General features: G+C 47.5%; 1 protein-coding gene across 44 annotated transcripts in view, besides 1 other annotated feature; it reads left to right on the plus strand.

Annotated features, from left to right (window-relative positions):
- ARSG (arylsulfatase G) overlaps positions 1-14,971 on the plus strand; it is a 192,850-nt gene that overhangs the window by 106,946 nt on the left and 70,933 nt on the right. For 33 of the 44 annotated variants that reach the window (XR_007065287.1, XM_047435644.1, XM_047435647.1 and 30 more), the window contains 2 exons: positions 2,433-2,629; positions 4,329-4,409. Coding sequence is in view for 43 of the 44 variants with exons in the window: in XM_047435644.1 (XP_047291600.1) it covers positions 2,433-2,629; positions 4,329-4,409 (278 nt within the window). In the remaining variant the exon portion in view is untranslated. Of the gene's footprint in view, positions 1-2,432; positions 2,630-4,328; positions 4,410-13,730; positions 14,567-14,971 lie in introns of those variants that run through there. The other 11 variants (NM_001352904.2, NM_001352903.2, NM_001352905.2 and 8 more) reach the window with 3 other exon arrangements.
- Positions 12,103-12,622: an enhancer, noted in NCBI's record as "H3K27ac-H3K4me1 hESC enhancer chr17:66374359-66374878 (GRCh37/hg19 assembly coordinates)". NCBI's record gives its function as "activates a minimal SCP1, AML or CMV promoter by ChIP-STARR-seq in primed H9 embryonic stem cells {active_cell/tissue: H9 hESC(primed)}" and the evidence as "EXISTENCE:reporter gene assay evidence [ECO:0000049][PMID:30033119]".

Here is a 14,971-nt window from a genome sequence, read left to right on the forward strand (position 1 = left end):
GTTAGTAGAGGCAGGGTTTTGCCATCTTGGCCCAGCTGGTCTCAAACTCCTGACCTCAAATGATCCGCCTGCCTCGGCCTCCCAAAGTGCTGGGATTACAGGTGTGAGCCACTACGCCTGGCAAAAAAATAAAATAAAATAAAATTTATTTAATTGTGGACTTTTATAATTGAATTTTTAGCAATGGCCATGTTTAACAACTGGTTTGCAAAATACTTGAAATTTGAGCCAGATCTAGGCACCACTGCAATATGGAATCTACCTGAAAATTAAAAAAAGCCACCCCCACTGGCCAGGCACTGCCCTGTGCAGGGTAACCAGCCAGTAGATTGTAAGCTGGAAATAAGGACCCATTCACTCAGCAGGATGTCCTGATGCAGGCCACAACCTGCACAACTGTACATGACCATCCCTGGGAGAGTTGGCATCAGGCACTGCAAATCATTGCTGTACGAAAAAACTAGGCAAGAATGGAGATGTTTTCTATCTGCACTGTCCAAGCTGCTAGCCTCTAGCCACCTGCTGCTGCTGAGCATTTGAAATGTGGCTAGGAATTTATGTATGTGTGTGTGTGTGTGTGTGTGTGTGTGTATTTTATTGTGGGTATGTATATATACAGATATATATAATCATAAAATGTTACCATCTTAACCATTTTAAATGTAAAGTTCTGTCGCATTAAACATTCACTTTGTTTTGCAACAATTACCACTATCCATCTTCAGAACTGTTTCATTTTTTCTAACTGAAACTGTACCCATGAAACATAAACTGCCCAGTTTTTCTTCCCCGCAGTGCCCCGCCACTCACCATCCTACCTTCTCTCTATGAATTTGACTATTATGGGTACCTCACACAAGTGGAATCATACAATTATTTGTTTCTTGGTGACTGGATTATTTCACTTAGCATAATATTTTCCGGGTCCACCCATGTGCTAGCGTGTGGGCCATGGAACTTTTAATATGATTTAATTTTCATTAATTTAAATCTAAATAGGTACATGTGACTTGTGGCTGCTGCCCTGAACAACACAACTCTAGCAATGTTGCAGAGAAAGTGTGGATTAAAATGGGGAAGGCAGACGCCCCTGTCTTGGGACTTGTGTCCAGGGTTTTATGCATAGCAAAGAGAACTGAGTGCAAGCACAGTCCCAGGCGGCAGACCCTGGGAGCCAGGGTGCAGGGGGGATTTGAGGGCACAGTTGGCTATAGAGCAAGGCTGTAAGGTGGTGTAAACCAGGGTGAGCTAAGGAGAACCCTGGGGCCAACTGAATCTCTGCGTGAACTAGTATGAAAGGGCCATGCATCTACCCCCACCAGAATGTTGTTGACTCTGTACTCTCCCAATACCCTTGTTTGGTGTCCTCTGAAAGACCCCCCATGGATGGATCTGTGGGAGAGGGGCCCCCTGAAGGTCCCTGCCACCGTTGTGATTCTGCAGCTGCTCTTGGCTGGGAGTAGGACTGGGACCTTTGCTTGGAAGCCACGCCAGCTCCCTCCAAGCCTTTCATTCTGCACTTTCCAGGGAAATCAGGATGAGTACAGAGGCAGCCGAACAACAAGGCCTCTGACAGATCCCTGATCTAGATGTTACCTGGTGGTCATATGTGTCCTTGAAATTCCTGTGATCAACTTGAGACAACCATTTATCTCTTAGAAAGGAACAAGGCTGGCCAGGCACAGTGGCTCACGCCTGTAATCCCAGCACTTTGGGAGGCCGAGGAGGGCAGCTCACCCGAGGTCAGGAGTTTGAGGCCAACCTAGCCAACGTAGCAAAACCCCATCTCTACTAAAAATACAAAATTAGACGGGCATGGGGGTGGGCACCTGTAATTCCAGCTACTCAGGAGGCTGAGGCGGGAGTATCGCTTGAACCCAGGAGGCGGAAGTTGCAGTGTGACAATATCGCGCCACTGCACTCCAGCCTGGGCGACAAGAGTGCGACTCTGTCTCCAAAAAAAAGAAAGAAAGGAATGAGAGGCTGAGAATGGACAGGATAGTCTGGATGCTGCAAAATAAAATTTAAAGGTGTGTGTGTGTGCCTTAGACTTTACAGTGTGGCAGTTAAGAGCAAGATTCGGACATGTAACTAATTGCATATCCTGGGCAAGTCCTTTAATCTCTAAGCTTCTGATTCTTCATCTGAAAAACGGGGCTATGATGAGGACGAACCTAGACAATGTGATTCCCATATAATAAGCTCTCAGTAAATGATAAGGGATAGTAACTGTTATTACAATTCTCATTTTTAATTGGCTAACCAGATTGCTTTCACATTTCCTTGGAAGATTCTGGATAAATGTGTCCTTCTTGAGCCCGTGGGGCAGAAGGAGCTTTGGGGATTTTCCTGGAGGAGAGGGAGGATCCCTGAGGCACCAGATGAGCCAGGAGAGCCTTCTGCAGAGTCACCTCTTGGTTCTCCTGTTTCAGCACCAGCGGGAGGCCCTTCCTGCTCTATGTGGCTCTGGCCCACATGCACGTGCCCTTACCTGTGACTCAGCTACCAGCAGCGCCACGGGGCAGAAGCCTGTATGGTGCAGGGCTCTGGGAGATGGACAGTCTGGTGGGCCAGATCAAGGACAAAGTTGACCACACAGTGAAGGAAAACACATTCCTCTGGTTTACAGGTAAAGTAGTAAAAGCCAGCCAGCCTAACTGCCATTTAATAGACAACCTTGCACATTACCTGTGAAGAGCAGAGTCTGGCCCCGTGATCCCCTTTCATAGGTCAGGAGGCTTGCTTTGAACTTGTGGCCCAGATAAGGCTTGCTGGCCTGAATGCTGAGCACCTGTCCATTGGGGCCTCCAAGGCCAAGTCCCTGGAAAGGTTTGCACACACAGAGCAGCCACCTTGCTGGCCCGTTGTGTGTCGATTCAGGCTATCTGGGTATTGCTCTTAATTGCCATTGAATGACATTGACATTGTGAGCCTGTGTTGTCCCTGTGCAGTTCTAAGATTTCCCTCTTCTCCATCTTCCCTGGTCCCAAAGATTCTACTTGCTGCCACTCCCCGTGTCACGTCTTTTGGCTGAGTGGCCTTAGCGAGCTGAACTAGTGGCCTCTTTAAAGGCCTCACACATGCATTGTGTATTTTAGGTTTCTGTCTGGAGCGACTGCAGAGGTTATAAGCACTGCTTTTGGCCAGGTTGACTCACACCTATAATCTAATAACAGCACTTTGGGAGGCTGAGGCAGGCGGATCACCTGAGGTCAGGAGTTCGAGACCAGCCTGGCCAACATGGCAAAACCCTGTCTCCACTAAAAGTACAAAAATTATCTGGGCATATTGGCACACGCCTGTAGTCCCAGCTACTCTGGAGGCTGAGGCAGGAGAATCGCTTAAACCTGGGAGGCGGAGGTTGCAGTGAGCTGAGATCGTGTCACTGCACTCCAGCCTGGGAGACAGAGCAAGACTCTGTCTCAAAAAAAAAAAAGCACTGCTTTCGGGTCAAGTAGAGACTTATACTCTCTACCGTGCAGTGAAGGTGTTATAAACTCCTACAGGGTTTGAATCTATACTCTACTATTGGGGGAATTCCCTTAATCTCTCAGTCTCCTTTTCCTCATCTGCAAAATTAAGCTAATAACCGAATCTACTCCATAGCATGTTGGAGGATTATGAGATGATGTATGTGAAACACTGGGTGCATAATAGATGCTCAATAAACAGTTGCTGGGCTGAAGCTGATGACGGTGGCAATGAGATTGCTGAAACCTTACAAAAAGGCAAGAGAGGAAAGAGGAAGGAAGAGGAGGAAAGGCAAGGAAGGCAAGAGGCTCACGATGGGACTGGGTTGGGGCAGGAAAAGGCCACCTGTCTCTGAAAGCCCAGTAGAGACACATCTCATATCAAGGGTTGTTCTTCACGGATGGGAATCATATTTGTCTTTATTTATTTATATTTATTTATTTTTTTAGATGGAGTCTTGCTCCGTCACCCAGGCTGGAGTGCAGTGGCAGGATCTCGCGTCACTGCAACCTCCGCCTCCTGGGTTCAAGCGTTTTTTGCACCTCAGCCTACAGAGTAGCTGGGATTATAGGTGCCCACCACCATGCCCGGCTAATTTTTGTATTTTTAGTAGAGAAGGGGTTTCACCATGTCGGCCAGGCTGGTCTGGAACTCCTGACCTCAAGTGATCTGCTTGCCTCCGCCTCCCAAAGTGCTGGATTACAAGCGTGAGCCACTGCACTAGGCCCATGTTTGTCTTTATAAGTCCTTTTTCTATCTAGTTCCTGCTCTGCGCAAGGGATATAGGGCCAGAGTGGGAGGGTCAGCGAAAGTGTCCAACCAGCCTGGTGACCATTAATGCTTTTTCTGGTTTCTAGGAGACAATGGCCCGTGGGCTCAGAAGTGTGAGCTAGCGGGCAGTGTGGGTCCCTTCACTGGATTTTGGCAAACTCGTCAAGGTAAGGGGCTCAGCTGGGGTTGGTGGATCCCATTGCAATGCTGAGCCCAGGCTGGGGTGTGGGATTCTGCCTCCGGGTGGGGGACAACTTATATCTGGGCCTTAGGGTCATCATTGTGAAACAGGGACACATTTGCTCACCAGCCACCAGCACCCAGACAAGAAGGAACAAGTAGTGGTGGAGAAAACGACTGCTCAGTTTGGACCATCCCTGTCTCTCCTTTCCTCCTAGAACTTCCCAAAGGCGACCAGCCCTCCACCCAACGAGCCAGTCTACCTACAAACATTCCAACAAATGAGCTTTGTCTTTACTTTCATCCTGTTCCCTTGCTCTTCCTCCTTCCTTTTTAAAACTTCATCCCTCCATCCATCTAACCATTAATTTATTTCATCCATTCAAAAAATATTTAGTGTACAACTGTACAAGGTTTTTAATGTACATTGTCTCCAGTTCTTACAAGAGTGAGAGGGTGGCAGTCATAGCTCCATTTACAGATGAAGAAAAAGAGAGGCTAGGCCGGGCGCGGTGGCTCACGCCTGTAATCCCAGCACTTTGGGAAGCCCAGGCCGGCGGATCACGAGGTCAGGAGATGGAGACCATCCTGGCTAACACGGTGAAACCCCATCTCTACTAAAAATACAAAAAATTAGCCGGGCGTGGTGGCGGGCGCCTGTAGTCCCAGCTACTCAGGAGGCTGAGGCAGGAGAATGGCGTGAACCTGGGAGGCGGAGCTTGCAGAGACAGAGCTGAGATCTGCACTCCAGCCTGGGCGAGAGTGTGAGACTCCGTCTCAAAAAAAAAAAAAAAAAAAAGAAGGAGAGAGGCTCAGAGAGGGTAAGTAATTTGCCCATGTCACACAGTTTGTGAGGAGGGAGCCAGGTTTTCCACTGAAGTTAAAGTTGGTGCTCGCCCTGTTGTACCATAATGCTTCTCACAGCTGCCTCTGTCTCTATTTCAACATCTTCCAACTTCCAACTCAGCTCCCATCTGCTCTGGGAGAGCTTTGCCACAAGGACCTCACTTTCTGAGACTGCAGCCATGTTGGGGACAATTTGACATATGGACCAAATGCTTGAAAAATACGCATATCATTTGATGCATCAATTCCTCCTGTAAGAATTTGTCTTAAGGAAATAATTAGGCACATGCTCAATGACATACGAAAAAGGATGCTCATTGCAGTGAATTTTTTTCATAGTTGGACATAACCCAAGTGTCTAGTAAGAAGATAGTGCTTAAAGAAATTATTATACCTCCATTAAAAGGAATAACAAAGAACCACTAAAATAATTCATATTTATTGACTTGGAAACATTTACATGAAATATTTTTAAATGAATAAAGCAGGTTCCAGTATGGAACAATATGTAAAGTATGATTTTATTATATAAAAATAATCACATGTAGACTCAAAAAAATCTTGAAAGAGTCAATAAAGGGTAACAAAACATTAGCAATAATTACCTCTGGGCAGCGGAGGGAGAGTTGAAGGGGTGAATTTCCCCCCACAATAAACTGGTATTGTTTGTTTCATATAAATTAAATGTTTAGGAGGTATTTGTGTCCAAGAGGTTCAGAGGTGGACCTGGCAAGTTTACCCTCATTGAGGGATGTGTGGGGCAGAATTTTAGATCTGGGACTGTGTATTAGTCCACAGACTAATACACACAATCGCACCATTCTTGAATTAGAGGGAACCAAAAAGGTCTATCTGTCTGTCTGTCTGCCAGTTCTATCTAACTGTCATCTATCTATCTATCTATCAATTGATCGATCGATCGATCGAAACACCAATACTCCAAGAGATAAAATAAACTCACATTGCTATAAAGAACTACCTGAGACAGGGTAATTTATAAAGAAAAGAGGTTTAATTGACTCACAGTTCTGTAGGCTGTACAGGAAGCATGGCTAGGGAGGCCTCAGGAAACTTACAATCATGGCAGAAGGCGAAGGGGAAGCGTGTATGTCCTACATGTTTGGAGCAGGAGGAAGAGAGTGAAGGGGAAGGCGCCACACACTTTTAAACAGCCAAGGCTAATGAGAATTCACTCACCATCATGAGAACAGCAAAGGGAAAATCCGCTCTCATGACCCAGTCGCCTTCCACCAGGCCCCTCCTCCAACACTGGGGATTACAATTCGTCATGAGATTTGGGTGGGGACACAGAGCCAAACCGTATCAGGCTGTTTTCCCTGCTGTCAAACTCAATCCTGACCTATGACCCTCAGCTGTCTCCAGGAGGTCTCCACTAGCACTCCCGTCATCGTATTAGTCTGGCAGGATAATTGTAGTTACCTAGAAACTGAAGCATTGTGCGCCTCAATTCTGGTGCAGAGAAGGAAATGCTGATTTTTTTTTTTTTTTTTTTTTTTTTTTTTTTTGAGACAGAGTCCCACTCTGTCACCCAGGCTGGAGTGCAGTGGCACGATCTTGGCTCACTGCAGCCTCCACTTCCTGGGCTCAAGCGATTCTCCTACCTCAGTCTCCCAAGTAGCTGGGATTACAGGTGTGTGCCACCACGCTCAGCTAATTTTTTGTTTGTTTTTTTTTGTTTTTGTATTTTTAGTAGAGACGGGGTTTCACCATGTTGGCCAGGTTGGTTTTGAATTCCTGACCTCAAGTGATCCACCTGCCTCGGCCTCCCAAAGTGCTGGGATTACAGGCATGAGCCACCGTGCCCGGCCATGATCATTTTTATTTTTCAATTTTTTTTTTTTTGAGATGGAGTTTCACTCTTGTTCCCTGGGCTGGAGTGCAATGGCATGATCTCGGCTCACTGCAACCTCCGCCTCCTGGGTTCAAGTGATTCTCCTGCCTCAGCCTTCCTAGTAGCTGTGATTACAGGCACCCACCACCACACCTGGCTGATTTTGTATTTTTAGTTGAGATGGGGTTTCTCCATGTTGGCCAGGCTGGTCTTGAACTCCTGACCTCAGGTGATCCACCCATCTTGGCCTTCCAAAGTGCTGGGATTACAGGCGTGAGCCACCATGCCTGGCCTACTTTTCAATTTTAACCTATTGTCCCTTGGATCAGATATCTTGAGAACTTTAGGAGCAAGTGGCTGCAGGACTGTGGCCATATCTTGTGTCTGGAAATTTGAGTCGGGGTCAGGAGAGCTGAGTACCACCTCCCACTAACCTTTTCAGTGACCAGATTATTTTATCTCTTGGAGTATTGGTGTTTCTCACTCTCACTCTCTCTCTCTCTATATATATGTATAGATCTTTTTGGTCCTCTTCAGTTCAAAAATGCTGTGATTTAGTTGTGATTTCTGGAGAGTTGGGTCAAAAGAAGATGCTAAGGAGGACTGGAGGTGGATGGGGGTGTGTCAAGAAACAGGAGCCAGCCAGGCGCGGTGGCTCACACCTGTAATCCCAGCACTTTGGGAGGCCGAGGCGGGCGGATCATGAGGTCAGGAGATCGAGACCATCCTGACTAACACGGTGAAACCCCGTCTCTACTAAAAATACAAAAAATTAGCCGGGCATGGTGGCGGGCACCTGTAGTCCCAGCTACTCGGGAGGCTGAGGCAGGAGAATGGTGTGAACCAGGGAGGCGGAGCTTGCAGTGAGCTGAGATCGCACCACTGGACTCCAGCCTGGGTGACAGAGCGAGACTCTGTCTCCAAAAAAAAAAAAAAAAAAGAAACAAGAGCCTAGAGAAATACAGCATAAATGGGAGTGGTTTGTTGCATTAGCTGATTACAATTCCTCCTTTCTGTACCTGGGACACTCTTGGGCCAGGCTGTCATCTTCAGTGTTCAGTTAGAAAGCCTGGAATAGCCTGGTGTCAGAAGCCCCAAGGCTAAAAGTCCAGAAGGTGCAGAAGGTGTGGAGACCATGGATGCAGGGGGAAGGATCTGTAAGTAAGTGGCTTCTCCGTGGGGAGAAGAATTTACCTACTGATCTCCTATCTGAGGACTTGCCTTATTGATCTCTTCTCTCTTTATGAGGCAGTTTTGAAATAGTGAGTCAGGCTTAAGGATGTGGACTGGGACCCCATTCTTCGAGGGAATGATGAGAAATACATTTACTAGCTGGCCAGGTGCAGTGGCTCATGCCTGTAGTCCTAGCACTTTGGGAGGCTGAGGCAAGAAGATAGCTTGAGGTCAGGAGTTCAAGACCAGTCTGGCCAACATGGTGAAACCCCGTCTCTATTAAAAATACAAAAATTAACCAGGTATGGTGGCGGGCACCTGTAATCCCAGCTACTCGGGAGGCTGAGGCAGGAGAATCACTTGAACCTGGGAGGTGGAGGAGGTTGCAGTGAGCTGAGATTGCACCACTGCACTCCAGCCTGGGCAACAGAGTGAGACTCAGAAAAAAAAAAAAAAGAAAAGAGAAAGAAAACAGAAAAATAAAAATAAATTTACTAGCTGGGCAACCACCATCTCTCCTTTCCTTCCTTCCTCCTGTAAGCATTCGTTGAGTGCCTACTGTTTTCTATTCCTCCTATTTGTTGAGCACCTACTGTGTGCCAGGAACTATGCTTAGTGCTGGTGCCACAAAGATCAACAAAGCCCCAGCCGCAAGGAATAATAGTCTAGAATAGTGTTTCTTTGATTTTAATATGCAGACAGTCCCCTGGGGATCTTGCTAACCTACAGTTCTGACCCAAGAGGGCTGGGTTGCTGATGGGAGTTTTGCATTTCTAAGGTTCTCCTAGGTGACGCTGATGTGGTTGGTCCAGGGACCAAACTTTGAGAACCACCAGTCCAGAACATCTACATCTAGACCATGAGTCTAGAATCATCTGAGTGTAGAACTTTCAACTTTAGACCAATGGTTATCAAAGTGTGGTCCCTAACCAGCATCATTAGCACCACCTGAGAAATTGTTAACAGTACAAATTTTAGGGCTTCACCCCGGGCCAAAAGAATCAGAAGCACTCAGGATGGGTCCCAGGAATCTGTGTTTAAACAAGTCCTTTGGGCGATAATGCAGGTTAAAATTTGAGAACTACCTGTCTAGAGCTACACAGTCTGGTATGTCAGGCACTAGCTACATATAGCTATTTAAATTAAAATTAATACAATTTAATTAAAATTCAATTCCTTGGTCACACCAGCCACACTTCCAGGGCTCAGTAGCCATATGTGGCTAGTGGCTACCATATTGGGTAGCAAATAGGCTTCCCTGGGGGTGATTTGTGTTTTGAAGAATGAGTAGGAGACAGCCAGGAATTGGCAGGAGAAGAGGCTCTGGGCGAGGGCAGCAGCCCGGGCAGGGGTGGGAACATCGGGGAGTAGGAGCCGCTCCCTAGAGCTGCCCCTGTGTCTGTGAGTCTGGAGTTTGTGGCGACCAAGGAGAATAGCGAGAGATGGGGCCAGCGTTCAACGATCTTTTCAGTTTGGCTTTTATTTTAAGGAAATGTGGAACCATGGGAAGATTTTAAGAGTGGGAGGGACATTATTTAATGTTAAATATGGAGGTGAAATTTACATCACATAAAATTAACATTTTAAGTTGTTCAGTTAAGTAGCACTTAGCACCTTCCCAATGTTGTGCAACGACCACATCTGTCTAGTTCCAAAACACTTTTATCACCTCAAAAGAAAACCCTATATCCTTTAATTAATTAATTAATTAATATTTTAGAGATACAGTCTTGCTCTGTCCCCCAGGCTGGAGTGCAATGGCGCGATCATAGCTCATTGCAGCCTCAAACTCCTGAGCTCAAGGGATTCCCCCCACCTCATTCTCCTGAGTACCTTGGACTACAGGAGTGTGCCACTGCGCCCCCTGCATTTTTTTTTTTTTTTCTGAGATAGGGTCTTGCTCTGTTGCCCAGGCTGGAGTGCAGTGGCATCATTACAGCTCACTGCAGCCTCAACCTCCTGGATTCAAGCAATCCTCCCACCTCAGCCTCCCAAGTAGCTGGGACCACAGGCATGCACCACCATACCCAACTAATTTTTCTTTACCTTTTAAAATTTTTTTTGTAGAGACGGGGTCTTGCTATGTTGCCCAGGCTGGTCTGAAACTCCTGGGCTCAAGCAATCTTCCCACCTTAGCCTCCCAAAATGTTGGGATTACAGGTGTGAGCCACTGCACCTGTCCTATGCCTAGCTTTTAAAATATATATATTTATTTTATTTAACCCCATATCCTTTAAACAGTTGCTCACCATTTCCCACTCCCCCTCCAGCATACTATTCAATTTTTTTTTAAAAGATCCCTCTTATATCAGGGGAGCTGAGAACAAGGAGAAGGGCAAGTACCAGCCTCATTTCCACTGATCCAAAATGACCAATGAGAGAAGCCAGTGACAAAATCTCCAGGAATATCCCCAAGTTCAAAGAACGCCAAAGTTGGAAAAGACCTCAGTCATCTTTTTTTTTTTTTTTGAGACAAAGTCTTGCTCTGTCGCCCAGGCTGGAGTGCAGAGGTGCGATCTCAGCTCACTGCAAACTCCACCTTCCAGGTTCAAGCGATTCTCCTGCTTCAGCCTCCTGAGTAGCTGGGATTACAGACGTGCACCACCACACCCGCCACCATGTCTGGTATTTTTAGTAGAGACGGGGTTTCACCATGTCGGCCAGGCTGGCCTTGAACTCCTGACCTCCAGTGATCTGCCCTCCTCAGCCTCCCAAAGTGCTGGGATTACAGGCGTGAGCCACCGTGCTTGGCCGACCTCAGCGATCTTTATTCCAACCACCTTATTGGACAAATGAGGAAACTGAGGCCAAGGAGAATGGAAGGCATCCCCGAGGCCAGCCAGCAATGGAGGGGTCCACATCCTCTGACCATCACTGGCTCATTCTCCAAGTCACGTGACTGCTCTCACGCACACCTTGTTATACTCGACTCCTCAGCCACCTGGAAAATCCTATCTTGCTCTTTGAACCTAGCAATTGTCAAGGAAAAGTCTTTAGCCCTTGCAACAGTCTGAATCTTTCTACATCGGTGGGAGGCAGAGAGGGTTTGGAGGCTCAGGCTGGGCTTGAATCTTGACTCAGCTCAGGGCTCAGCATCCTCTTCTCATTAGGTGGGGTTGTGGACCATTCTCCATGGACTGTTGGGAGAATCAGTGGGGGTACTGCCCAGGAGGCTCCCAGCCTTGCACCTGGCCTCTAATGATAACCCCCATTAGACTAAATTTCTTCATTCCTGGCTGAAACAACCTGGCGGAACCCCACCCATAGAAGCATTAGAAGGGGATTGGCAAACACCCTGAAAAAGATTCCCCCACAAAAGGATCAGGCAACTTAAATCGCATACAGATAACTTTAAAAGTGTTCAGGAACTCTTGGGAAACTTTGTTCTGAAGCTGAATTTCAGGCACCTCAAGATAACATTCTTTTTTGGGGCAAGGCCTTCCCAGTAACTCTGATGTGGGATCGGTGGGTGACAGCACTTGAATTCATGATCGGGCTGGGGCTGGATGCCATTGCCCTCTTTTCTTGGGAGTCTGAAAGTGAACTTTGCCTGAAAGGCTGCTGCCTGGGGGTAAATACTTCTTCTTCCTCAGTCTCCAAAGCGGCTTCCTGTCAACTAACTATTCCACAGCCTCCTTCTTCCTCTCTGCCTGGAATGCTGCTGGAGCTCTGGGAAGCCAGGCAGCGCCCTGCTCAGCAGGTGGCCATGTCCTGTGAGTCAAGGGGGCTGGGGTCCCTCTGGTCACCTGCTCCTCTTCACCCAGTTCCCCATCAGTGGGACATCTGCACGGCTCACTGTACAGGGGCCAGACTCAAGAGCAGATGAAAGAGAGAAGGCGGTCAATGTTTTCGCAACGGAGTAGGACAAACAGTACCCGGAGTCGTGCAACTTTCTCCCTGAAGCCAGGCTGCTGCGTCAGGCCACGTGCTGTCTTCCCCTGTTCTCAGGGCCCCCAGGCCCCCCTGCTTGTCTTCCCTTTCCTTTCCTGGCCGAGCCGCCCAGCTCAGCTGATGGGATGAGGCAGCGTCTCCTGGAGTCATCTTTTCACCCCGTGCGTGTGGACTGAGAATGCTCCACTTGGCTTGTGCCCTGCAGGGGTGAGGAGAAACGGAACTGGGGCGGGGGCAGAGCAAAGCAGCCCTGCCTTCTCCCGAAGAAGAAGGGCACGAGTCAGACACCCCTGCTGTCTCTGAGTCCACAGCCTGGTCCAGGAGGCCTGGCTCTCCCAGCAGCCGCCTTCCCTTCTCCATGCCAGATCTGTTTCCTACCCAGGACAGAACCAACACCTTGTTTTTCCCCTAACTGACTGCTCCTCTGTCTGGAAAATCTTTTCTCGTTTTATTTGAAGAGCAGAACTGTTCCTTCCTCCCCCTTGGTGATGAGGAAACATTCTGTTGAATTTGGCATCCAGGCTCCTAGGAGACCTTGGTTGTTTGTAATTTGATGCTATCAGGTTGTTGCATAACCTTTCCCGCTGGGAAGCAGTCTCTGCATCCTGGGCCTTCTGTCCAGTTTGGGGTCGGGGGTGGGGCGGGGAAAAGTCAGAGGTGCTGTGAGGTGACAGAGCAAGGGATAAGGGACTCTGGCTGTTGGCCCTGGCTGGGGACAGGGCCTGCTGATAGGGACCTAGAGGAAGTCAAACTGCGTCTCTTTCTGGGCCTTTGGCCACCAGGCTTGGTGGAATGTCCTCATCCCATACTCAGGGCCACCCCAGGCCAGCCGGAGTCCTGGGTCTGAATAGAGGCCAGGCCGCCCTGTGTTTCTAGAAAACGAGTACACTGTAGGCATCCTTGGCAAGGGGACATACTACACTTAGAAACAAAGCCTGCTTCTTTATTTTATTTTTGTAGAGACAGGGTCTCACTCTGTTGCCCTGGCTGCAGTGCAGTGGTCTGATCATGGCTCACTGCAGCCTTGACCTCCGGGGCTCAAGCAATCCTCCTGCTTCAGCCTCCCTAGTAGCTTAGTAGCTGGGACTGCAGGTGTGTGCCACCATGCCTGGAACACTACAATTTTTTTTTTTTTTTTTTTTTTTTTTTTTACAGAGATGGAGCAGAGGGGTCTTGCTTGTTGCCCAGGCTGGTTTCGAACTCCTGGCTTCAAGTGATCTTCCTTGCATCGGCCTCCCAGAGTGCTGGTGTTACAAGTGCGAGCCACTGCACTGGGCTGAAAGCCTGCTTCTTTAGAAGGTTATTAGAATGTGCACTCCTCAGAACAGGCACTCTACCCAGTCACAAATGCTAATGCCTTTGTGGGCCAGGCAGGTGATATAAAGGAACACATGTTTGTTTTTGTCAGTTATGGGCAGTGTTAGGAATTCAATATGCTGGAGAGAGGACCCTGTCGAATGACATTCAGCATTAGTTAAATGAAAAACACTAGGCATGCCCAACCAAACTGTCGGAGGTTGTGATCTCTGCTATTTTCTCCCTACAGGTAATTTGGTTGGCACTTCTCTGGCAGGCATTATGCAAAAGTACCTTGCTTGAAGCTTTATGTACACTGTCTTATATAACTGTTCCCACAGCCCTGTGAGATACGTACAACTGACCTTTGAGCGACACGGATTTGAACTGCATGGGTCCACGTAATACATGAATTTTCTTCTGCCACTGCCACCCCTGAGACAGCAAGACCAACCTCTCCTCTTCCTCCTCCTCTTCTTCCTTAGCCTACTCAACGTGAAGACAACGAGGATGAAGCCCTTTATGATGATCCACTTCCACTTAATGAATAGAAAATATATTTTGTCTTTCTTCCAATTTTCTTTTTCCTTCCTTCCTTCCTTCTACCTTCCTTCCTCCTTCCTTCCTTCCTTTCTCTCTTTCTTTCTTTCTTTACTCTTTTTTTTTTGGACAGTCTTGCTGTGTTGCCCAGGCTAGAGGGCAGTGATCTAATCAGAGCTCACTGCTGCCTCAACCTCCTGGGCTCAAGCGATCATCCCACCTCAGCCTCCCAAGTAACTTGGACTACCAGCTAGGACTCCCAAGTAGCTGGGACTACCACACTTAGCTAATTATTTATTTATTTATTTATTTAGTAGAGACACGGGTCTCACTATGTTGCCCAGTCTGGTCTCGGACTCCTGGGCACAAGCCATCCTCCTGTCTTGGCCTCCCAAAGTGGTGGGATTACAGGTTTGAGCTACTGTGCCTGGCCAGGATTTTCTTACTAACATTTTCTTTTCTCTAGCTCATTTTATTGTAAGTCTACAGTATATAATACATGTAACATACTAAATGTGTCTTAATTAAATGTTTATGTTATTGGTACGGCTTCCTGGTCAACATAAGGCTATTAGTAGTTAAGTTTTGGGAGAGTCAGAGGTTATGCCCAGATTTTCAACTGCTTGGGAGTCAGTGCCCTAACTCTTGTGTTATTCAAGGGTCAACTGTACAATCGTTTCCCTGCTTCCTGGCTGAGATGATTGAGACTGAGGGAGGTTATGAATTCTGCCCAAGACCACTTGGTTGGCAGGGGTGGCACTGGAGACCTGCCTGCCCCCAAAGGCATCATCCTAATTATTCCTTGAATACTTCTTCAACTCTAGTTTTCAAACCACTGACATCAGAATTACCTAGAATCAGAGCCCCACCCCAGACTTATTAAATTAGAATTCCTGGGAATAGGACCCAGAAATCCATGTCTTAGATGAGATCTCATCTGGTGATTCTCTT

The sequence above is a fragment of the Homo sapiens genome, chromosome 17, assembly GCF_000001405.40.
Source record: "Homo sapiens chromosome 17, GRCh38.p14 Primary Assembly".
NCBI lineage: Eukaryota > Metazoa > Chordata > Mammalia > Primates > Hominidae > Homo > Homo sapiens.